The following is a 25,500-nucleotide window of genomic DNA, read 5'->3' on the forward strand; positions in this document are numbered from 1 at the left end:
CATATGAAACTAAACCCAGGTCTCCCAGCCAGTCAGTGCCCTTTCCAGTACATAGTTATGAGACTAAATACAGCTAATTTAACTTGCAGATGGGGCTATATGAAAAACTTCTTGCGTCCTACCCTGTCCCAGTTTATTCTCTGCAATAATTAAAATCTGCTTTTGATCAGAATATTTGATTTAATGACTTCTAGGACATGGGTACAATGAACAATTTAAAAAGGAAGATCACAAACCTGAACGTAATCAGGCACAACATGAGAAATTAAAAGAATAAACTCCATAAACTATTTGCCGCAAGAACAGGCTTTGACTTTTTAAATTTAATTCTCCAGTGAGCCAGTTCATAGATGGGTAATATGAGAAGGAAGTGATGTGGAAAAATCCACACGTCTTGTAGAATTTCAGAGATGTGAGCACATGATGCATAAATCGAAAAGATGTGCCAGGATGTGACATTTTAGTCAGAAAACTGCTAATGAATGTATATTTATAAATGTATATATTGATGCCAGCTTATCTTAATTTTTTTTGATATTCTAACAATGATACAAAATTAGGTTGTTCTTTATTTGGGGAAAAGAAGTAGAGAATTTGAAGCCCAAATTAAAATGGCTCTTATAACTAATGTAGCCTGCAGGCTCTTTCAGAAGTGTGTACACCTCAAACTCAAAGAAGGAAAAAGAAAATGAAAAGGCAAAGATTAAGTTTGTTCTCTGCATAAGAGCATCTGCTTATCAAGAATTGACTCATCATTACTTTTATATATAATATTTTTATTTCAAAGAATTCTTTTGTTCTAAGACTTTATACATTTGAGAATCTTTTCCCCAAAACTATTATAGCTTCATCCATTTATTTGGGATAATTGAGCTATTCTTATCCAATAATATTTCCAAACACCTTCACGGCATGCCAAACTTCTGTTATTGGCAGAAAAAGATGTTACAGCTTTGTTTGTTACAACTGCACTTTTCACTTACTCTTAGAAGAAATTAAAACTTCCTATTCAAGACCCTAAAATTTCATTTATACATCTTGTCTCAGTGTCACATCATCCATACCTTTCATCCTTTAAGTTAAATAATGTAATTCTTACTCATGTACTCATGTTAATTTTGTAGTAAACATCTCCCCCCAAAAACAAAAGCTCACTTGTTTCAAGGATAATTTTTATTGATGAAAAAAATCTTGCAGATATGAAAAGATAATTTTTTTATTCCTATGACATTTTCTGTTTTTACGATTTTCTTTTCAGCAATGAAAACCTCTGATGTTCTCTTTTGGGAAGGTAGTTTATCCAACATAAGGATCCCATCCTTTTCCATAAATGAATCGATTAATCATGTCAAAAGCTCTCAGAGGCTGGTCATAGGGTAAAATATGTCCTCCACCTCGAATAATTACCTTAAAAAGAAAAAGTAAAAGAACGGAAATTTAGAGAAATGGATATTCTAAATACATGGAAAGTTTTCATTCAGATTAAACTCTATTTAAAACTCACATGAAATACAGAACATATTCTCCCAATGCATGCCTTTGGACAAGCTGCCTATCTGGCTGTTGATGGCTTTTGTAACAGGCATGTTAAGGTAGAAAAGTTTTAAAGCTTAGTTAATTTTACGCAAAGTTGTATTCTTTTCTCATGAGTGTAAAAATTGAAAATTATTCCTTGTCTTTTTCCTCTAGAGAGTGATCTGCCTGCTCCCCGCAGTTGAGAGTGCTGCACTGCAAGTGTTACCTGGTGAGGCCCACCTCCAGCCCACTACTTCTGGGGTATGTGAGGTCTGCCTGCAATGGGGTGGATTGTCTACTTAATTCCACCCTTCAGTTAGCCAGCCCAATTGTCCCTCACACTGAGCCATACCTTCCATTTTAGCCTTTATCAGTAATGAAGGGGAAATTTTGGTTCTCAAAAAAATTAAAAAACCAAAAACATCCTTGACTGAGGCAGGAAGATGACCTGAACCCAGGAGTTGGAGTCTGCAGTGAGCTAGGATCATGCCACATGCACTGCACTCCAGCCTGGTTGACAGAATGAGACCCCATCTCTTAAAAAAAAAAACCAAAAAACAAAAAAAAAAAAAACAAAACAAAAAACTTGACACTTGAAATGAAAGAAAGTCATGTTTTGAGCAGCATAGAGTTAGAACATTCTTTTTTTTCCTAATATTGGATTATAAAACATTTTAAAACATAGCAAATTCGAAAACAATTCATATAGTGACGATTTTGAGTCATGAACTTTCACTTTACTTGCTTTCTCACATAAGGGTGCCTCTATGCATCCCACACCCATCCACTAATCCATCTTATATTTTTGACACATCTCAAAGTAAAATGGGCATGTAGTGCACTTCCCCCACACACTTCAGCATCACATTATTCATCAGAGTTCAACATGTGTTTACAGATTTTCTTCTTTTGAGTCAAGTTAAGATACAATGAAATGCGCTAGTCTTAAGTGTAGACTCACCAGTTCTGACAAATGCAGACACCTACGTAACCCAAGCCCTTGTTGGGTGATATAAAGCATTCCTAAAACATCTCTAATGATGAGATCCAATCAGCAAAAGGGGACTGGTCTCTGTACTCGTTAAGCCTCTAGCGTCAGCTAATATTCCAAGTAGAGGGAAACGGGAAGCTGTCATGATTCAGTGCCAAAAGGGCAAGGACTGACACTGAGTGTTGGGAAGTTACATGCAGGAGAGGTCAGCCTGGCCTGAGATGTCTCGTTCCATATGTGGAGAATGGACAGGAGGTACCAGTGCATGAAGTGAATAAACGTATGCAAAAAGGACATCACTTTCAGTAACTTCTAGCTGCAGAATCACGATCAGCAATTAAAGGTCACCTTCACAAGGCCCTTCCTAAGAGGCTGGGTTCTTCTACTTGTCTCAATCTGAAGGAAACTGAGGCAGAAAAAGTATATTTGGATAGTACATTTATTATATTGAAAATCTGCCCCTATATCCCAACACCCTCCATCTTACAACCTTGACGTGCAGTAAGTAGGATTAACACTATTAGATGATATTTACCTTGCAGCTCGCAGCTATACAAGCTGTGCACTGAACAACTACAGGGAGCACCATTCACATGAGCATTGAGATGACTGAGCTATTTGGAATTATTCAGTGGCTTGTCCAAGTCACACAATTGTTAAGTGAGATAACTAGCTAGAACCCTGACTTCTGATGCAAACACCGGTGTGGTGTTTTTAATCAAACCCTCTACTCAATCATTCCTTATCTTTGAACTGAAATTTGCAGCTTAGTCACGGAACATTTTTATTCACCTCTCAATAGCCCTCTGAGGTTTATTGATGAAAAAAATTATTGCAGATATAAACATAATTTTCTGTATTTTTGTATTTCACATATTACAGTGAGGGAGGCAGATCCCATTTGCAGATGTGGGACCAGACTTAACTCTTTCACATGCAAATGTGAAACTTTTGTGTTTTGCTGCAGTTGATCAATGGTCATTTGTGCCTCACTGCAATGACTGTGAAACCCATCTACCATTTGTGTAGAAGCTTGCAACTGGAAACCCAGCATGCCCACTTTTTATCACAAACTGAAAGTAAACATGTGTGACAAGAACCCCTTCATAGGACTCCAGAGGGAAACTTTTGCCGCCCCGCAATCCCAGGCTAGACATTTCTTCCTGCAGATTTTCATCCATATCTTTGGCCCTGGCAGGAATCTGATGAGTGATTTCTGTGCAGCTTCAGCTCAGCTGAGGACACTTAACAAAGTCATATGTGTGACAAAACCCAGCTGCTTCAACTGGAAATGAGTTTGGCAGCAATGGTCCGGAACACCAATAAATTGAATACCCAAGAGCTAAAGGTCATCCTGCCCCCAGAACCAGTGCTGCAGCTAACAAAGGACAAACAAAGGATAGCACAGTGCTTCACAGCCTGGGCTCAGAAGTCAGAGTGCAGGAGCATGGCAAGAGGCACTGCACGTTGTGTGACCTTGGGCAAGGAACTTAACCTCACTGAGCCTCAGGTTCCTTTACTTTACAATTGGGAAACAAGTATTACCTCGTGGGGTAGTTGTGAGTTGTGTGAGGAGTTAGTGGAATAATGTCCCTGGAATACTTAGCACAGTGCCCGGCCTGGGATGGTCTTCAGTAAATATTGGTCATTTTCGTTATTCTTCCAACACTTATCTATATTGAAAATCCAGAATCAAAATGCCTATATCAGGAGGATTGCTTGAGATCAGGAGGATCGCTTGATTGCAGGAGTTTGAGGCTACAGTGAGCTGACTGAGCCACTGCACTCCAGCCTGGGCAACAAAAGGAGATCCCATCTCTAAATATAAATGAATATATATGTATATATGCTTATATGAACCTAAACTACCCTAGAACATGGTGTTCCTACATTTTCATAAAAAACCTTGGTTTAAAAAAGGTTGTTTAAAACAATGGTTCTTGGCTGGGTGCAGTGGCTCATGCCTGTAATCCCAACACTTTGGGAGGCTGAGGTGGGCGGATCATTTGAGGTCAGGAGTTTGAAAGAGCCTGGCCAACATGGCGAAACCCTGCCTCTACTAAAAATTAAAAAAAAAAAAATTAGCCAGGCATGGTGATGCACGCCTGTAATCCCAACTACTGGGGAGGCTGAAGCAGGAGAATCACTTGAACCTGGGAGGCAGAGGTTGCAGTGAGCTAAGATGGCACCACTGCACTCCAGCCTGGGCGACAGAGTGAGACTCCACCTCAAAAACAAACGAAAAAACAAAACAATGACTCTCAAATTTGAACGTGCATAAAAATACCTGAGCTCATTAAAAGAGATCGTGAGGCATCACCTCCAGACTTTCCAATTCGGAAGGTCCAGGGCAGGGCCTAAGAATTTGCATATCTAACAATTCCAAAGCAATGCTGATGCTGTTGTTCCAACTGCTTGTTGAAAACCACTGTTGAGAATTTTTTTCTACTCTGTGGCAAACCAGGGAATTCTCTGTTTACATCAAGGTAATTTGATTAACACCTACTCATGAATACAAGTAGAAATTTGTTTAATACCTACTCATGACCTCACTTCCTGGGTATCCGCTCTCCTGGTATTTACTCACGCACATGCGCACTCACACACACCTTCCCTGTCCATAATTATCAAGTGGTGAAGGAGCGCTGAAGGGGTCAGGTGTTCTTACTCTTCCTCTCAGTGACCTACCTGACCCTGGTCCAATTTCTGAGCTGCCATGTGTAATGACCCTAATGGCATTGTAAATTGTGTCATTAATATTGCGGGAAGAGAAAGCTTGTTAAGGGACAAAGTTGTTTCACATGCCACAAAATTCCCAAACAAAGCATATTCTTAAGCAGATTCACATACAGCATTTTACTGATATTAACTTCAAAAATAAATATATTTTTGAGTGTGGAAAAATAAACCACTCTTGTTTATAATCAAGCCACTCACCATTCACAAATCAAAGATAACAGACCACTTGGCAGCTTTTAGAGGTGAGTAACAAAATGTGTCAGGGCTGTAATTACGTATTTAAATGTGACAAGATTAATCTCAGGGCTCCCTGAATAGAACTGTCTATTTTGGGTGCCTCCACACTAGAGCTGCAGCCTCTAACTTCATGTGTTCCAGATGTTCCAGGGGGTCACAAATGTGTCATGAATTTCAACAGGGTTATACAAACACTTTAAAGCTTCATTCCACTTTATTTTTTAGAAAACAATATAATTCTCCCTGGAACTAGAAACAAAGACCTGCCAGTAAAGGTTTCCCAGTTGTGCCTGTTTAGATGACAGAAAAGAGAGGGAAGTTCACAGTGGGCTTGTTGATGTAGATGTGTCAGGGGAAGCTTCTTGGGGGTCTTGAAGGAGATCACTGGACGGAGAGTGGTGGGTGGGTGGGGTGGGGGTGGAGGGATCACCGCAGACAGAGGAAACTGTGTGTGGAAATGCAGGAGGCGTGGAAATGCAGGAGGCATGGAAATGCAGGGGCATGAAACTGTGGGCACGTGCAGCAGAGGGATCACCGCAGACAAAGGAAATTCTGTGTGGAAATGCAGGGGCCGTGAAGCTGCGGGCGCATGCAGCAGTCTGTATGTCGTCCCATTCATGCAGGAATAGAGGGAAACAGAAGAGACAGATGAACAGGCAAACGCTAGTGGGACCATGTGATGCCCCAAGTGACATGCTGGGATGAGTGGACCTTATCCTATCGGGCTTTAAAAGCAACTGTGGTAAAATACACTTAACATAAAATTACCACTTTAACCATTTTAAAGCGTATGATTCGGTAGCATTTAGTATATTCACACTATCTTGTTGCAGAATATTTTCACCACCCCAAAGGAAACCCATATACATCAGTAATCACTTCCCACTCCCCCTCTCCCCATCAGCCCCTGGCAACCATTAATCTGCTTTCTGTCTCTATAGACTTGCCTATTCTGGATATATCCTAGAGGGTTTTAAGTAGGGTAGTGACATGCTTATGTTTGCATTGTAGAAAAATGACTTAATGTCTAAGGAGAAGGCTAATTTGGAAGGGAGTCATACTGGTACAAGGAGGCAAATTAGGAGACTACCAAATCAGGTGAGAGGATGTGGGCTCATGGGAGGGATGGGGAGAAGGGGAAGGAGAAGAGGGTAGTAAGATGGAACCAATAAAATCAGTGATTAATCCGATATAAAGGTTAAGTGAGACTTTCTCTACCCATCCCCAACAAATCCTCCCCATTTCAGGCTTCTGACATGGGCAGATTTGCAAAGGTGGTGCTACTCACCAGGAAAGAGAAAAGAGCCACATGGGAGCTGCAAGTTTGGCAGGCAGAATATGTAGGATTGGTTTATTGTTTCTGCTTTCCAGTATAGAAAGATGCATACCCTCAAGAGAATCTGCTTGTTGTGGTTTCTGATTTACATGTAAGTTCTTTTCACTACTTTTATGCCATTCCACATTTACTAAATCTTATCTTTTAGTTTGCTTTCAGACACTAACTATAAGTAGAAATAACGTAAATAGCATTCAAATAAAAATATATTGAAAAGGTACTTGGGAACGAGAATAAAAAACAAGCCAAAGCTTGTTAGCAGACACTTCCTAACAAAGAATGCAATAAGTCACTTTCGAAAGAATGAAAAAACAGCAGAGATCAAGGCTGGGAGTTGCTTCAACAGCACTCAGGGAAACGATTCTTGAGGTCTCCCACTGTACACCTCTGGTGTAGCAAATGGTTATTGAATAGAATGAGAAAAGGAGCTTCTAGGTGCTTCAGGAGACCCACATGTAGCCATCATAATGGTACATATTCTAGAGCAGTTAAAACTTTTGGTGCTCCTTTACAACATCCCCAAGGGGCTTCCTATGTACACCATCTTAATCAGTTGCAACAATACTGTTTGTAATTTAGGACTTCCACTTCTGACTGTGACACAATAGCATGTACCAAACCAATCTTATTCCACAGAAAACAATAGAAGCTGAATTAAAAAGAAAATAAGCTGTTTAAAGGTATCAGAGAGCAACCAAGCCTTGAGAGAGGCCATGATCGTAGAGAAAAGGGAATCACAAGGAAGTGAGCCTAACATTTTGTGCTGCTTTTCCCTTTGGGAAATTCACCAATTTTTAAGCTTCTCTGACCAAGACGCCAAGTCAAAAGCGGCAGATAAGAGAATGAAAAGCTCATTAGTCTTACGGTGCTTGAGAGACCAAAAAACAAAAACAAAGAAAACCCCAAAAGAAACAACAACAACAAAAAATTGGAGTTGCAAGCCTGTCAAGGAGGGACAGCACTGGTAAGCACTGCAGGCTTTCCATCAGATCCGTGAAAGACAATGCCTTGGAAGTAATAACAAACCAGAAACAGGTTAGTCCTCACAAACCTTGAAATCAAGCACTGAATCAATCGTCTCAATCCCAAACTTTATCAAGGTGATATGCCTCTACTCTGTATGCCTTCTAGAAAAAATTAAATCCTTTTGGAAGAAAAATAACATTTTTCTTCATATATTTTTTGTACATTTTCTTCAACATTTAATAAAATTTAATAGGCATGACAAAGAACAAGAGCAATGACTAAAATTTAAGGAGAAAAAAAGATAACAGAGACCACAAATGATCCAGATATTAGAGTTACCAGGTACACATTTTAAAGTAACTGTGAACAAAATATGCAAGATGTTAGGTATAGAAAAATAATTCACAAGATAATTAGAATATATACAAGAGAATCAAATGGAAGTTCTTTAACTAAAAAGTTACTCATTCATTGTTCATTGAAATTAAGAACTCGATCGATGTTTTAGCAATAGATTAGGCATGCAGAAGAAACACTATATGAACTGGAAGTTAGGTCAGTAGAGGATATCCAGACTGAAGCATGGAGAATAAAGGTATGAAAATTCAAAAAAAAAAAAAAAGAAGAAGAAGACGACATGAAACCATGAAACATTTAACTTATGTTTAACTGGAATTTTAGGATAAAATGATAAGGAAGAAATGGGGCAAAAGAAACAAATAGTAACATTCAGAGATACTGACTGAAAAATTTCCAAAATTGACAAAAGTTACCAAGCCAGTTTTGAGAAGCTCTATGAATCCTAGATAGAATAAACACAAAGCAAACTAACCACATCATAGTACACATAATAGTATATTAGTAATAGTATATTACACTATAGTATGTGTATGTGCACACACACACACACACACACACACACACACACAGAGAGAATAGCATTTTGCTAAAAGCAAAGACAGAGAAAATCTTAAAAGCTGTCACAGAAAAGGAAACAGTACTTTCAGTACCTTCAAAGCAGCAAGAAAACTGACTATTCAACAGAAACAATGAAAGCTGGAAGACAGTGAAATAATATCTTGAAAGTTCTTAAATAAAATATCTGCCAACCTAGAACTTGTATAGAAATGAAGACCTTGTAAAGATATTTTCAAGGAAACAAAAAATTGGAAAAGGTTTTTGTCAGCAGACCTGCACTAAAAGAAGTACGAAAGACTGTTCTTCAGACAGAAGGAAAATTATCCGTAATGGAAACATGAAAATGCAGAGGAGAATGAACAGCAACTGAGAATTTACATATGTGAACACAAGTAAGGAGTATCAATAATTAATAATGTCTTCTGGAGTTTGAACTATGTAGAAGTTTTTCAAAAGACAGTACTTGCACAAAAAGGGTGTAAAGTGAGTTAAAGTGTTGTAAGGCAGCAGTCCCCAACCTTTCTGACACCAGGGACCAATTTTGTGGGAGACGGTTTTTCCATGCACAGTGTTGGGGAGTGGGGGATGGTTTGGGGATGACACTGTTCCACTTCAGATCATCAGGCATTAGATTCTCATGAGAAGCGCACAACTAGATCCCTCACATGCGCAGTTCACAATAGGGTTCCCCTCCTATAAGAATCTAATGCTGCCACTGATTTGACAGGAGGCGGAGCTCAGACAGTAATGCTTGCCTGCACTCACCTCCTGCTGTGTGGCCTGCTTCCTAAAAGGCCACAAACAGTTACCAGTCTGTGACCGAGGGATTGGGGGCCCCTGTTGTAAGGTACACTTTTATATCTGGACAATGGTAAATGTATTGACTCAAAGCTGACTTTCTTAAATCAGGATATATGTCATAATCTCTACATAAACATAAAGGATAGATAAAATAATCTACTATTATCAAGTTAATAGTGGTAAAAGGGGAGGGCAGTATGACTTCCAAATAATAGATTGAATAAAAGGATGAGAGTAAGTGGAAGGGGCATTACTGCATGATATGAGAAACAGACTTCTGACAATCAGGGTACTCAAATGAGAAGAAATCTTGTGATACGTTCCTTCCTTTTAGAGAGATACAGAATGAACACCTGAGAGGTGAAGACCTTTCACTCAAATCTGTTAGCCTTATTTCACCAGATCAGTTAGACGTGCTTTGAACGTGTCTATTAAAAAAAAAGTCATGGAAAATTTTCTCTGTATTAACTCCAAGAATTTCTGTGTTAATTTCAGCAAGGTTGGGATGAATTATTGAAGTTGAAGCTTTCTCTTTCCTTGGGCAGTATAGTTAATGAAAATCTAAAAGCAGAGTACAGGATAATAGGAAGCCATTTGGCCTGATGGTTAAGAGCACGGACTTGGGATTTGGTAGCTCAGGGTTTGAGCCCAGTTCTGTGACTTTGGCATAATGACTTAACTATCTCTATTTTCTCATTTGTAAAATGGGGATAAGAATTTGGGTGACCACTTGTCGCACTGTGCCTAGGACCAAGAGGTTTCTGGGAACATAGGGCTTTGAGTGCTAAAAGTAAAAAAGGGTCAGGCAATCTGGAATGGTTGCTTACTCTATGAATAACTTTTTGTAAGGATTCAGAGACAATACTTATAAAATGATGCAGGGCATCTGGTCTACAAATATGTCTTTTTTTTCTTTTCTTTTCTTTTTTTTTTTTTGAGACAGGGTCTCACTCTGTGGCCCAGGCTGGAGTGCAGTGATGTGATCTTGGCTCCCTGCAGCCTCTGCTTGCTGAGTTCAAGTGATTCTTGTGCCTCAGCCTCCCGAGTAGCTGGGATTACAGGCATACGCCACTACATCCAGCTAATTTTTTTTGTATTTTCAGTAGAAACGGGGTTTCACCATGTTCCCCAGGCTGGTCTCAAACTCCTGGGCTCAAGGGATCCTCCTGCCTCGGCCTCCCAAAGTGCTGAGATTACCCATCGCGCCTGGCCCATTACAAATATGTCTTAAGTTTGTACCATGTGCCAGTGTATTACAAAGATAATAAGGACTCAACCAGTGGTCACTCTACTACTATTATCAGAGTTTTTATGACAAACAGAGTATTTTTTTCCCTTTAAGAAGTGAAGAGGAGAAATTACAGCACTAATAAATATAACATTCATTACTGTACTTTTTCAGAAAAAAGGATTATAATACAGTCTTCAGAAGGGGAAATGTTTCTTTTCCAGGCTTCTTTGATTTCCCTTTTATGAATCCTCCCTTTCCTTGGAAAAGGCCCCAATGAAATTAATGAAGCAGCTTGAATGTGAAAGCAAACCTCTGTCACTGCACTCAACTTAACTGTGTCTACAGTGAGTTTTATCCCTGCCAATGCCATGATCCATCCCATTCTTTCCCTCCACCCTCTCTCCCCTTTCACCACATGCAATGCCAAACACCCTCTTCTTCCTACACAGAAATGCCAGGAAAGCAAGACCTTACTTGTCGTAGCAGAATGGCAAAAAACTGTTCTGTCTTTTTCCCCTTTTAGGAACCCACTTTACCACACAGGATTTGATGCAATTAAAAAGTAATCAAGATTTCCCATCCTCATTCTCTCCTTCCCTGTCCAGTTTTTATACTTGATATCCACAAGAGGATAAAAAGCACAATCCAGTTCATTATTTATACTTACTCAATATCTAGCTTTATGATCTACATTTGTAGTTTTCTTTTGGAAGAGAGAATAAGAGTGGGGGAGGAAGGGGCAGAGGTTATAGCAGTAAATGCTCTCGCCAGGAGTGCTGCAAGGACTTAGATCCTGACTCATCATCTTCTGTGTACCATGGAAACAAGAGCCGGCTAACCTGCTAAAGATTTACTTCCTGCAGACAGCAATGCAAGATAGTTCTAGCAGCAGTGTGTGGGCACTCCCTCACTGGATCAGGAGAACCAACTGTGCACATTGCTGCCCAACTCCATGTTTAGTGGTGTGAAGTTGGTAGCTTGAAATTGGCTGCGTGAGAGTATTTACACTATGGAAATTGGCAAATACTACAAATCAGTGCCCTCTCTCTTCAGTTTACCCTCAGACTCCTGGTTCTCTGACATTTTGGCTGTCCTGGGGAAAGAGGAAACATTCTGACATTCTTCTTCTTTCCAACGTGAACCTAAGGAACATCCACCTATCGTAAATTACAAGGTCTAAAACTTCTTTGAAACCTTGGCTCTGGAAATCAGATGAGCCAGATTTCAAAAATTTGCAGAAAGGTGAGAAAGGCCTGTCACTTGTTTCCATTTCTGCCTACCCTCACTGAGTTCTAGTATAAGTGACAATGATAGAATTTCAAGACCATGCTACAACATCTACAAGACTCTTCCATTTATATCAGAGCACCATGAGATGCTCCAGAGCTGATCTGTTTAGGAGAACTCCAGACCAGACAGGGTATCTGGATTCAACTATGTTCTCGACTCACAGCCTAAGGGAACCCCAGAACCCCTAAATGTCTCTAGGTTCTGGGAATTTAGAATACACAGCATGCCAAATAGCATGATATTTTCATGATGCCATTTGTTAAAATAAAACAAGGTACATAGTTTTTACTGCCAACCCCAAAACTGTACAAGGCAAAAATACTGCATTAGTCTAATTGACAACGTAGCACTATCTTAACACAATTTTTTCCATCCCTCTATTTCTCTACCCTACTCCATCTTCCGCCTTATTTGTTTATTTCTTGCTTTAACATCCCCACAAGTGATTTTGTGAGTCTTTGGTTACACTTCAAATTAAAACAACAAAAAGTTACTGTTTAAAAAGCAAATCCCAATTCCCTCTTTGTTCCTCAAATATCATTCTCCATGTGTGGATAATACTCTAAAATACAGACTTCTCAGTATTTATCCGCTTTCCATTTAATGAAATGGCTCTCTGTTAAATTTCAATAGATGATTAAAAACCACTCAACAGCCAAGAGAAAGTTACGCATTGTTGCCTAGCTGTTACACCTCAATAAATAGATTTGCTAGCCAATTTATATTTTAAATAATACAATAAATTAGCTCCCAGAGTACTAACTAAGTGCATATTTGGGTAGCTTAATTTAGAAGCATTCTTCTTATGCTAATCGGTCCTCTCTAATGAAATAGAACCACATGAACTAAGAAGACTTTTGGCAAATAATCAGAGTCAAATTGGGAGTTGCTATTGTTTATTATTTCCTTTGTCTTCAGGAAGCAAGCTGTGTGGTTTTTAAGAGAAGGGAAAAAAACAAAAACCAGGAATTCAATTATTTTTAAAGGAGAGGATGCTCTAGTCAGCACTGAGGTAATGAAATTTCTACAACTCCTTTTATAAATTTGTGTCCCAGAATATTTCTCATTTTTTCTCCCATGCAACACAGAAAGGAAATAGTCTTTAGCTGACATAAACAGTGTAGTCTTTAGTTTGAAGGGAATTGTTTTGAACTGTTCATTATCTCAGCATGTCTACTCTGTTTCCTCCAAGACACTTTGGTGTGTACAACTGGTGAACAATCATGACACTCCTTGAGAGATGTAGTATTAAAACACACACACACACACACACACAGTCAGAGGCAAAGGAGAGGGGCATGGGAATGAGGTAGAGGCCGATTTGATTTTAATTCACTGAACATTTACTCAGTGCCAAGAACTGTGCTAAGGGGTATGCTACAAAAATAAATGAATATTTTTAAAATAAATTATTCCTGTCCTCAAGGAACTTAGCATCGAGTAGAGGAGGAAGGCAATTAAAGAGTTGAAGTGTGAAACCCCAGTGTAGTACATACAATAGGAGATGTACGTAGATGGAGAGAGTTGCCAAGAAGGAGGTAATGTGGGGAAAGATCAAGCATACCAAGATTGCCAAGAATGAAAGGCAAATGGGAGTTTTCCAGGTGTGTCAGAGGAGTACAAAGGGCCTCACAAGGCAAGAGGAGGGAATCCCATGTGAATTTCTGGGTGCATGTTTGGGGGATGATATGGTATTTTGTTTTTCAACATTTTAATTGCAAAGGAGGGAGAGGGTAAGAGTTAAGGTTGGGAAAGGAAACAGAGGCCAGATCAAATCTTTTCATTAATCCAGGTAGAGTTAGGACTTTATCCTGCAGGTATCAGAGTTAGTGAGTGGTTTTAAACAAGGAAAACAACCACAGTTAAACTTGCATTTTGGAAAAAGCACAGAAGGGCAGATTGGTGAGGAAGGAGACTAGTTAAGACTAGGCAAGTGGGATATTGGAAAAGGAAAAAACGTTTAAACGACAACAATTTAAAACAGTTATTGAGAGTGTTCCTGAATAGCATCTTAAAACTTTTAAAATACCACAAGGCAAAAACTTGCATTTTGAAATTTATAATGTGGGATAGCCCTCATGTTTCTTTTAATGTCCACAAAATGCTCACTAGTTTTATTGGTTTATATAAATGCAGTGTTTTTCTTTTTTGCTAGTTCTTGTGGTTTCTATGCCGAGCACTAGGAAATGAATAAAATCAGGCCAGCAAGGATATCATAAAGCAGATGTGAGAAGTGCTAGCTAAGGAACTGGGTGGGTAGTATTTGCCAATTACTATTATTCTTCATTTTCTGGTAAGACTCACAGGAAAGCAAGTCAATAAAGTAACTTCTCTGCCTTGTTGTTTCAATGGAAAAGTGATGGGAGTGAGAGGAATTTTGTGAGAAAAAGATTCATTTTCTCCCTGTGGTCTGGGGATTGCTGGCGAGCCCAAGGCATAAGCTGAAATCTGTTGATTTTATTTACTTGCTGCTTCTTACTGAGCCACTGTTGGCAGAGTTGAATTGAAAAGGTGCTAAGGGAATAACTTTCTGATTTTTTTTTTGAGCTGGATATTTTGCTAGCCAACCTCAGCACAGGACACCCAGAAGAAAAATGAACCTACATAACCACCCGGACTTGGATGTGAAATGTCCACTCTGCCTTCGCTGTGTGTGTGTATGCCAGAGTCCTTCAATTTGATGGCATTAAAAAAAAAAAAAAAAAAAAAGACAGGAGACAGCTATGGAAAGAGAATACAAACCATGACTTTTAGACGTGAGAAAGGACAGTAAGCCTTCCTTTAATTTAATAAGCTCAGGTGAAAGAACTAGAGGCAAGTCCAAGTGTTTGCTGAGATCATGGAATAATCAGAACTCTTATACTTTACCGGCAAGAATAATCAATTTGGAAAACAGTTTAACATTATCTAGTGAGGCTGACACAGACACAAGGAGATATGTGCAAAAATGTCCATAGCAGCACTATCTGTAGAAGCAAAATACTGAAAACAACCCAAATGTCCATCGGCAGTGGAATGGGTGAATAACACGTATATGATGAAATACTATGCAGCAATGAAAAAGAATAAGACACAATTGAGCATATCAACATGGGTGAATCTCACATACAGCGTTGAATAGCAAAAGTATGTTTTTGCAAAATACATACAGAATAATTTCTTTTCTATAAAATTAAACATGAAAAGTAAAATATTATATATGGATACGTATGTCTGCAGTAAAACTATTAACAAAGAAAAAAGAAAGGGGATGGTAAAAGCAAAATTCAGGACAGTAGTCTACCTCCAGGGGTAATTAGGAAGGGCAATGTCGTATTTTTTAAACCAGCTGGTGAGTACAAAAGTGTTCATTTATCACTGTTTTATCTTAGACAGCATGGTAAATATTCTTTGGTATGTATTCAATTTTAAATTTAAAAGAAGAAAAGAAAAACCACCTGCTGATGCTGCCATCCTTGCAAAAATGAATCTTTAGGAAATTTAACATGTTCTCTGCTGTGCTTTTTTCTTCTCCCCTACACAGAGATGATGAGATTGGCCCCATGTCTGAAAAACAGTATGTGGGGAAGGCCTGGAGAAGCAATTGAACTGAAACAAAGTCAAAAGTGGGAAGTCCCCCTCTGGCAAGCAGCTCTAAGATGACAGAGCCGGTGCCAGAATCTAAACCTTGGGACTCTGGTTGCTGTATAAAAAAATAAATATTAGGAACAAAAATAAATACCCACATCTCCATGCTGGACAGCAGAAGAGCAATAAGTTGCCAAATTTTTTTTTTGTTTTGTTTTGATAGTTTTTTACTCTCTAAATGTAAGCTCCTATATTTCCTGTCTTCCATATGTTAGAAGCTCAGTACAAACAGGAGAAAAAGAAAAAAAAAAAGGCTGGATGCACCTCATTTGTTGTCAACAGGGATGTTTCAAATTATTGTTAAACTAGAAGGGACTCAATGCTTTAGAAACAACTCATTACTCAATTCAGCCACTTTTATTTCCTATTAGGCTGTCATATAGCAAAATGTCCAACACCGCCCCATCCCTCTCTGCTACTACTACCTTTTGACAAGACAGTCTCTTTGTTAAAGTCAAGTTAAAACTGGATACAGCTGTGGTAGTTTCAGGCCTATCTGACAGACAATATTGAACTCATTTCATCATCTGAAACTTTAATACAAAATGTCTCTTAAGGACTCTATGAACAGAGCAAGAGGTTCTTGCCCTGTGAAAATAGATTAATGCTAAGAGAGCTCCCTAATGGCAATAGAAACCAACATTTATTTTATGCTTATTAGGTGCCAGGTAGAGAGAGGGTCAAGTAATTTATAAGCATTATCTCAATTCATCCTAATAATGAACCCTCCTGTGAGAGTGGTGGGTGATAATATTATCCCCATTTCACAGGTGAGGGGGTTCTTGGAGAGGTTAAGTAACTTGCCCAAGGTCATACAGCTGGTACATGGTAGAGCAGGGATCTATTCCAAGTCTAACACAGTATCCATTCTCTTAATCCCTATACTATAATGTCACTTGAATATGGTAACAAAAGTAGTTAGAATTGCCAGTGTAATCAACTAGAAACAAAATTCAAGCCTACTTGATAGTTTAGCTCATAAAATCTGTCTGGTATCACCAAAGGTGATAGGTGATTTGGGCTGGGGAGAATCTATAAATTATTTTCAACAATTCAAATAGCCTAATGCATGGGTTCTTAATCTGTTTCTGTGCTACAGTCTCCTATGACTGTCTGGTGCAGCCTGTGGACTACCTTCTCACAATAATGTTTCTAAATGCATGCTGGCTGGGCATGGCGGCTCATGCCGATAATCCTAGGACTTTGGGAGGCCAAGGCAAGAGGATCACTTGAGCTCAGGAGTTTGAAACCAGGCTGAACAGCATGGCAAGACCCCATCTCTACAAGAAAATACAAAAATTAGTCAGGTGTGGTATCATGTGCCTATGGTCCCAGATACCTGGGATGCTGAGGTGGGAGGATTTGTTGAGCCTGGGAGTTCAAGGCTAAAGTGAGCCATGATGGTGCTACAGCACTTCAGCCTAGGTGACAGGGCAAGTCCCTGCCTTAAAATAAATACATACATAATTAATACAGAGTGCATATGCATCCACACATATACATAGATAATATACAGTGAATTAAAATCAAATCCTAGGCTTTGCTAGGATTGCAAATGAAACACTCCACTGAAATCATCAAAACAGTAAAAAAAAATTGTGAGATAGCACATACATACTTGTATATTAGCACATTCAGTAGGAGAAACCAGAGGGTCTGAAAACTACTATAATTTTAATTTTAGTGATAAGGATAAAAGGTTTTCAACATATCTATAACAGTGTATGTGGTATTTGGTATGAGAATGTCTTTGCTTTCTATTGGTGACAAAAGTCAAAGGTACTGCTGTGCCACTGTGATTTGTTGCCTACATTTATAATGGAAGGAAATGTGAAATTTCACAATTCATAATGAAAGGAAATGCTATTTCAGTTAGAGGTTAGAGAAAATAAAGATGCAGTTTTTTCCCTTCCAAGTTCACTGACAACTCCTTGAATCCTAACCACAGACCCTTACTCCAGGTTAAGAATCCTTATTAAATAGCCTAATGAGTAACTAATGGAAATACTGAGCTTACTTATAATAAGACTTCACAGTCTAAAATGTGGCACTTTTTTTTTCTTTGCTTTGACATGGAATTGTATGAATCTATTATCCAGAAAAAAAATTCACTGTGGCTAGTGGACATCTTTGCTGCAAACCATCACTCTGGATGATGTTTAAAGCAGACAGTGCTTGGTAGTTTTTTCTTTGTTGAAAGGCAACACAGACACACTACTATCTAAGAGCACTGCACACCAGGAACACGTTGTTTCAGTACAGCACAAAACTGCTGGGAAAAGGAAACTAATGCTTTTAAACAAATAAAAGAGTTTTCTTACAAGTCTAAATTGCCAGTGATCTATCAATAATTAAAAAGAACAAAGACCACTTGTAAACCTGCAGTGCATGGCAGGGACTGAAGTCTACAATTTAGATTAAGGTTTTGGCTGATGATTTCAGAGAACCAGTGCCATACCAGTTGATACTACTGACTGGAAGACAGAGACAATGCTTCAGGTCAATGGCTGATTTGTAAAGAGTAAAACTGTGTTCTCAAATTTCTGGTTAGCTTGTAAGTAAAAATGGATTTAGAACATACTTCAGGAATCAGAATGAAAGTTTCTCCAAACATATGCCACATGGGGGTTCCTGCCAGATGGAAGCCATGTCATTATCAATAGAGGGACAAAAGACATCATAGTTTAGGGTTCCCAAACTGGCTACATATTAGAAACCTCTTTGAAGCTTCAATACCAATGCCCAGGTTCCACCCCAGACCAATAAAATCAGGGTATCTACAGAGCAGGTGTGGAAATCTGTATCTGCAAAGGTTGAGACACATTGGTTTAGGGCAAAGGAGGAGATTAAAAATGGCTCCAGATTCTTTGCCATTCTTCCCACCAAAAGGAATCTGCTTTGCTCTGTGTTTTGCATTGACCAGGAGAGAATGAAATGGAAATAATGTTCTGGGACTTTTGAGTACAGGCCTTAAAAGGACTGGCATCTTCTGCTTTTCCATTTGGAACACCAGCCTGCTGTATTGTGGAAAAGTCCAGGCCAGGACACTACATGATTAGAGGTGGTATGGAGAGAGCACTGGAGGAGAGGAGATCATCTTGGATGTCCCAGCTTTAGCCAAACTCCCAGCTGAATGCAGCTGCACATGTGACCTCAGCCTACCCCATCTGAATCAGACCCACCCAGCTGAGCTCACTCAATCCACATATTTGTGAGAAATAATAAATTGTTTGAAGCCACTAAGTTTTGGAGTGATTTATTATTCCATGATAAATAACTGAAAAAGGGAAATATTTTCTGATGATTCTTTAATCCTTTTCCTGAAAGATCCATCTTGCCTATCTTGGAATCTTGATATGAGTTAAAAACCAAGGCCTGATCCATCTTTCTAAGGCAGATATAAGACATAATTACACTGAGAGCTTAGTCAAAATTTTATGTCATGCAAACAAAGAAAGACCAAGTTCCCATATTAGGCAAACCACCAGCTCCCGCTGCTCCCAACTCCCTGCCCCCAAATCCATGAGAGCTAGCAAGTACATTATCTGGGTGGCCTTTGTGGTAGACATAGAGATGCACCCCACTGGACCTCTCTTCAAGGATGTACTTGCTGCTCCACTGCAGGGAGTGCATTCAGCAGACAGCCCCCAGCTGTCAGCTCCTTCGGGGTCTGCCTCAGCTGCAAAGAGCTGCCTTTCCCAAGATGATGACCTTCCTGGGGCAGCCCAAATTTGGTGAGTCAATGAGCTGGGCATAAAAGGCCTCACTATTTTGGCCCAGTGTGGGACACTCTGATAGAAAATATGCTCCCAAGAGTTCCCTGCCTGGTTTGTCTGGCCTGTATCACAGTTTTATTTCTCCCTTGGTCCAGTCTTGCTCCTATACCCTTCCTTCCACAGGTGTTGGTCTCTAACAAACTATTTGCACCCCAAACTTTGCCTCAGTGCCTGCTTTTGGAGGACCTAACCTGTGACTTCAGAGAAGCTCTCTGGCTGGGAGGTGGGGTGTGGTTTGATTACTGTGTTCTGGTTTTCTGCCCACAGTCAGATTTCCATAAGTGGACAGAGGAACTTTGCCCCTGTCTGGAAGATAGAGACAAAGAACCCGTGAAAGAGGACATCCATCATTGTAGAAGGCGACTGCTGGTGGGGGAGATGAAGACTCTGTTTGCCGATTTCCTTAACAAAGCCAAAGCTTTTTGTTTTGTTTTGTTTTGTTTTGTTTGAGACAGGGTCTTACTCTGACGCCCAGGCTGGGGTGCAGTGGCGTGAACATAGCTCACTGCGCCTCGACCTCCTGGGCTCAAGTGATCCTCCCATCTCAGCTTCCCAAGTAGCTGGGACTACAGGCCTGCACCACCACACCTGGTTAATTCTTTTAATTTTTTTTTTTGTAGGGACAGAGTCTTACTATCTTGCCCACCCAGGCTAGTCTTGAACTCCTGGGCTCAAGCGATCCTCCCACCTCAACCTCCCAAAGTGTTGAGATTACAGTTGTGAGCCACCATGCCCAGCCAAAGCTAAAACATTTTTCCAGGGAATTAACTATATTTGATTATCATTGCCTTAAGCCTATTTAACAGTTATTTTCCTCCATTCAATATGTTTTTGAAAACTTCTCTTTCCCTCTCATCTAGTCAAATGCAAAAGTGACATTTTTTTGCTTGTTGCTTCCTCTGACCATGTCAATGTTATCAAGGACCTGCTGAAGACCCTTCTGGAACTGTTCCTTCAGAAACAATTCATAATGCTTCCTAAGCTGTTTAAAATTCTTAATAAAACACACAAAAAATGAATTGTCAGCAGTAATTCCGAGAAAGGCAGGTGGCTAGCTGTCTGTCATTCCTTCTGTGGACTATCTGTGAAAATGTTCAAATCCTAGCCTGATCGTCCACTCGAAGGACTAGAGTCATTCTTTCCTCCACATTCTAGTTGTGTGTAGTCAAGAAACAAACAAAAGTTAATGTGAGTTTTAGAAAAGCACAATTAGGAAGCTGTGGTCGTTACTGCTTTCTGCAGATGAACCATGCCTCCTCCATCCTCCTCCTTTTAAGAACTCTTCTTTCATTTAGGGAACAAGTATTCTATGGTGGTTAGCATGTGCTGCCAAATATTCTGTCCACCACCACCACACCACCGCCTTGCCACCATCACCACATACCCCAAGGGCAGTGGTATGGTTTGGATCTGTGTCCCCACCCAAATTGCTTGTCTAATGGTAATCCCCAATTTGGAGGTGGGGCCTGGTGGGAGGTGATTGGATCATGGGGCAGATTTCTCATGAATGGTGCTTTCCCCACCATGTCTACCTTGGTGCTGTCCTGGCAATACTGAGTGAGTTCTCACGAGATCTTGTCATCTAAAGGTTTAAAGGTGTGTGGCATCTCCCCGGCTAGCTCTCATCTGCTCCAGCTTTGCCCTCTGCCATAAGTGAAACTCCCTGAGGCCTCTTCAGAAGGAGATGCCGTCATGCTTCCCGTACAGCCTGCAGAACTGTGAGCCAATTAAACCTCTTTTCTTAGAAATTACCCTGTCTCAGGTATTTCCTTATAGCAGTACAAGAACAGACTAATACAGCGGGGCATGTAGCCTAGATCCGGCTACAGTTCATCCTTCCCCACTGCACTCCCCTCACAGGTACTTAAAGACACTGTGGGGTGGTGGAAAGGTCAGAATTTGAATTTTCAAATCTCAGATACTATTACTGTTCAAAGCCTTAAGCAAGTTTTTCAGGTGAAGCTTCTGTTTCTTCAGTTATGAGTTAGTAAATAACATGACATAGTTTATAGGATAGCTACTGTGATTCCACAAAATTGTGGATTAAAAAAGTGTGTGGTAGACCGTGGCCTGAGAGCTCACAGATGCGGAATCATCGGTCGCCATCCTTATCATCTCTTTTGACCTTCCCATCACCCCTATGAAGTAACTGTTCTCACTCAAGAGTTTCCAGCATGGTGGCTCATGCCTGTAATTCCAGAACTTTGGGAGGCGAAGGCTGGTGGATCACCTGAGGTCACGAGTTCGAGACCAGCTTGGCCAATATGGTGAAACCCTGTCTCTACTAAAAACACAAAAATCAGCCAGATGTGGTGGTGGGGACCTGTAATCCCAGCTACTTGGGAGGCTGAGGCAGGAGAATCGCTTGAACCCAGGAGGTGGAGGTTACAGTGAGCCAAGATCATGCCACTGCACTCCAGCCTGGATGACAGAGTGAGACTCCATATCAAAAAAAAAAAAAAAGTTTCCAGGACCAGTAACCAGCCCACAGCTAGCAAGCGGCAAAATGAAAGTTTAAACCAGGTTTGTCTAACTCCACCTTCTTCTCATGTCATAGACCCCCTCCAATTGGTGAGGGCTTTCCAGAACAGTCAAGCTTCAGGGTGGCGTGCTCCTTCCCTTTGGTTTCCCTAGATGTAACCTCTAGCTGAAGGTCTGATTCCTGTTGGAAACCAGGACATTTTGGGAGAAGCCCCTGAGCACAGTGTGGCAGACCACGGGCCTGAGGGCTCCATATACTAAACCCAGGTCAAGGTCAAGGTGCAAGTCTTGGTGCAGGGCTTGTGCTTTAGGGGGCTGAGGATGCCTACTAGGGCCATTGAGGAAGTGCCAGGGACGCCAGCATGCAGTGATCTTAAGTTGGTGGGGACACACAGTGAACACCATCTCTCAAACAGGGAATCAGTCCTCACAGCTTGGGCATTCCAAACCTTATTCCCCACGACCTCTATTTCAGGACTTCCAAACCAATATCAAGAAGGTGGACGTATTAAATAGATGGAGAATCTTCTTCCAATAAAGCTCCTTATATGACTTCCTATTTCTAGAGTTTCCTCACCCTGAATTCATCCTAAAGTTACCATTATAAACTTCCCAAAGAACAGCTTTTAAAATGTGCTTTCAAACCTCTGATGGCTCCCCACTGCTTAAACAATGGAACACACACTCCTTGTCTACTATCCAGGCCTGATGTTCCCATTCTGGTTTCTCTCCCACCTCTCACTCTCCAAGCTGCAGGCTATGAGCCAGACTATGCACTCTGCCCTGTGCCCTGCCCCATATTCTCTTATCCATGACACTGCCCACCATATTCTCTCTGCTCATTTTGGCCAATTTCAGCATGCATTCTTTTAATATCACAAGTTCCCCGATAAAGCCATAACTTTTCTTGACATTATATGAACCTGGCCTCACCACCAAATCTTAGTGCCTTTGTAAAAAACCCAATCGGCTGGGCGTGGTGGCTCACGCCTGTAATCCCAGCACTTTGGGAGGCCGAGGCAGGCGGATCACTTGAGGTCAGGAGTTTGAGACCAGCCTGGCCAACACGGTGAAACCCCATCTCCACTAAAAATATAAAATTAGCTGGGCATGATGGTGTGTGTCTGTAATCCCAGCTACTTGGGAGGCTGAGACAGGAGAATCACTTGCACCTGGGAGGTGGAGGTTGCAGTAAGCCAAGATCATGCCACTGCATTCCAGCCTGGGCAACACAGCAGGACTCCCTCTCAAAAAACAAAACAAAATGAAACAAAAAACCCCAATCTTCTCTCTGTCTATAGGAGGTGGTCACCTTGGGTGTGGATTCAGAGCTAACACTAGATGTGAAATACATTATTTCTCGGCCCTGCTTTAATTATGGTAGGCATGCATATAGGCTCCAATTTTAACTGTACCAGCATACTGCTGTGATTCCATTATTCCAGTAGTGGATATGCTTGTGAAGTAGAGAATCTCTGGGCTGTAAGCCAAGACTCTAACCTCAGCTCAGACATGAAATGGGTAGGATACTTCAGGGAAGTCACTTAACCTCTGGGTTTCAGTTTCCCTTCCCTGGAAAATGAGACCTAAAATTCATTCCAGCCATTAAATACAACCTAGCCGAGATAATCCATCTTGTAGTTTTGGAAGAAAATGGAATTGATATTGACAGTGAAAACATAAAATAAAAATAGTAAGGGCTCAAATTGCAATCAGGAAAATCAGCCTGTTGGAGATCATGCAAAACTCATGATTATAGAAGCTACACCCAGTAAGATTCGGTAAAAATGAAAACTGCTCAATGACTCAACATTTTTTCAATATTTATATGAAAAATAATTTGTGTCAATAAAGATATTTTCAATAAAATAACGATGAAAAAAACAGAAGTGTTTTCTTTCTCCAGGACATTCAGCTTAATGACATTTATTCTAAAAAAAAAAATCTTAAAGCAATTTCTCAGTATGGTTATTATTCCGATTAAAATTTTTAATCTTTTTTTTTTTTTTTTTTGAGACAGGGTCTCACTCTGTTGCCCAATCTGGAGTGCAGTGGCGCGATCTCAGCTCACCGCAACCTCTGCCTCCCAAGTTCAAGCGATTCTCATGCCTCTGACTCCCGAGTAGCTGGGATTACAGGCGTGTGCCACCATGCCTGGCTAATTTTTGTATTTTTAGTAGAGATGAAGTTTCACCATGTTGGCCAGGCTGGTCTCGAACTCCTGGCCTCAAGTGATCCACCCACCTTAGCCTCCCAAAGTGCTTGGATTACAGGCGTCAGCAACCCTGCCCGGCCAAAGTTTTAAATTTCTTAATGTGGAGTCAAAACTTCCTTAGGGCTGGCATGTTAAGAATAAAATGTCCTACATTTCAAATGCAGTGACAATATCAACTCAGATAATGAACAGCAACTTTGATATTTGGAGAAAGGCACAGAAAGATCCCAAAAGGGTGGCCTTGAGAGCAATGGCCATGGGTTGTCAACAGACAAGGAGAAAGAGGACTCAACTTCTGGGACCCAGAGATAACACTTGTAAGGGTTTATGGTCAATGCCAGTGCAGAGGCTACCCATGACTTTGGTTATCACGTAGCCTGAGATTTACATTTTGTGTATATTTCTATCTCAGTGGCTAGAGATAGGTATATGGTATATAGAGATAGGTATAAATATATATATATATATATTTACATATCTATGTAAGCATAGAGAGCATTATGACATTTGCTGAAAGACACTACACTATTCCACATTGCATTGCTGGCTGAGCCCCTCTGGGCATTAATGAAATATAGATATTTTGGATCTTTGTTAGGTGATATCTTAGAAATAAGTTAGTCCAGACCTTGCATTTGACAGACAACTTCTAAATTTGACAGACGCTCAGAAAGTCTGCTGCTCGGATTATATAACAGGGCAGTGTCCAATCCTTAAAATGGCACCAATACCAAAAACTTATTACCTTCTAGGTCAGAGCCAACAAGGAGGAACAAGAAGCACTTGCTCTTCATCGGATCTCTGAAGGCTGGTGGGAGCTGTGTTTGATTTCTCTGGGCATGGCTTGATGTGAATACACAGGGAAAATTGCTCCCTCTCTCGGTACCGTACTGCTCCCCTAGGAGAGCTGTCATTTCTTTAAGTGGACATTTTAGGTAACCATCCAGAGACAAGTCTACTTTGGTTTCAATTTTTTAAATTAAGAGCTGTAGTGTTTGGCAGAGAATGAGGTTGCTTTTTTGGCAGACACATACCCATGCTTCTGTTTTGTGTGTCTAATGCTGAAAAGCAAGTCCATGGCTAAGGTCCGTTTTCTTCATTATCAGACGCTTGACACTTGGACAGTATTCTTAGATAAACCTCACAGAGAATGCCTTTGTTCACACGGGAGTGCTTTTCCCTCCTCATAACCCTCATCTCCACAAACCACCCCAAACCAACGCTGAGGCACTAAGGGGGAAGGATCTTTGCCAACATTTTAAAATCACCTATACAAAATGCAGATCCCTTGCTGCGTGGTAAAACACTCACTATCACAAACATATGTGGGCCTTGCTTCTTTTGTTACTTGTTTTTTTGGCAGCCAGAGGAGTACCA

At 40.4% G+C, this 25,500-nt stretch overlaps 1 protein-coding gene and 1 long non-coding RNA gene across 22 annotated transcripts in view; one reads left to right on the forward strand and one right to left on the reverse strand.

The window, feature by feature from the left end:
• Positions 1–18,894, forward strand: part of CPVL-AS2 (CPVL antisense RNA 2) — a 33,403-nt gene extending 14,509 nt beyond the window's left edge. The window contains exons 2-5 of the long non-coding RNA NR_038965.1: positions 1,690–1,776; positions 6,494–6,580; positions 6,854–6,909; positions 15,548–18,894. This is a non-coding gene — a long non-coding RNA (CPVL antisense RNA 2). The remainder of the gene's footprint in view (positions 1–1,689; positions 1,777–6,493; positions 6,581–6,853; positions 6,910–15,547) is intronic.
• Positions 161–25,500, reverse strand: part of CPVL (carboxypeptidase vitellogenic like) — a 200,816-nt gene continuing 175,476 nt past the window's right edge. For 17 of the 21 annotated variants that reach the window (NM_001371268.1, NM_001371258.1, NM_001371256.1 and 14 more), the window contains one exon: positions 161–1,407. In NM_001371268.1, coding sequence (NP_001358197.1) covers positions 1,297–1,407 — 111 coding nt within the window. In that variant the 3' untranslated portion in view covers positions 161–1,296. The remainder of the gene's footprint in view (positions 1,408–25,500) is intronic. The other 4 variants (NM_001348054.1, NM_001348052.1, NM_019029.3 and 1 more) reach the window with 2 other exon arrangements.

This window comes from Homo sapiens, chromosome 7 (genome assembly GCF_000001405.40).
Source record: "Homo sapiens chromosome 7, GRCh38.p14 Primary Assembly".
NCBI classification, from domain to species: Eukaryota; Metazoa; Chordata; class Mammalia; order Primates; family Hominidae; genus Homo; species Homo sapiens.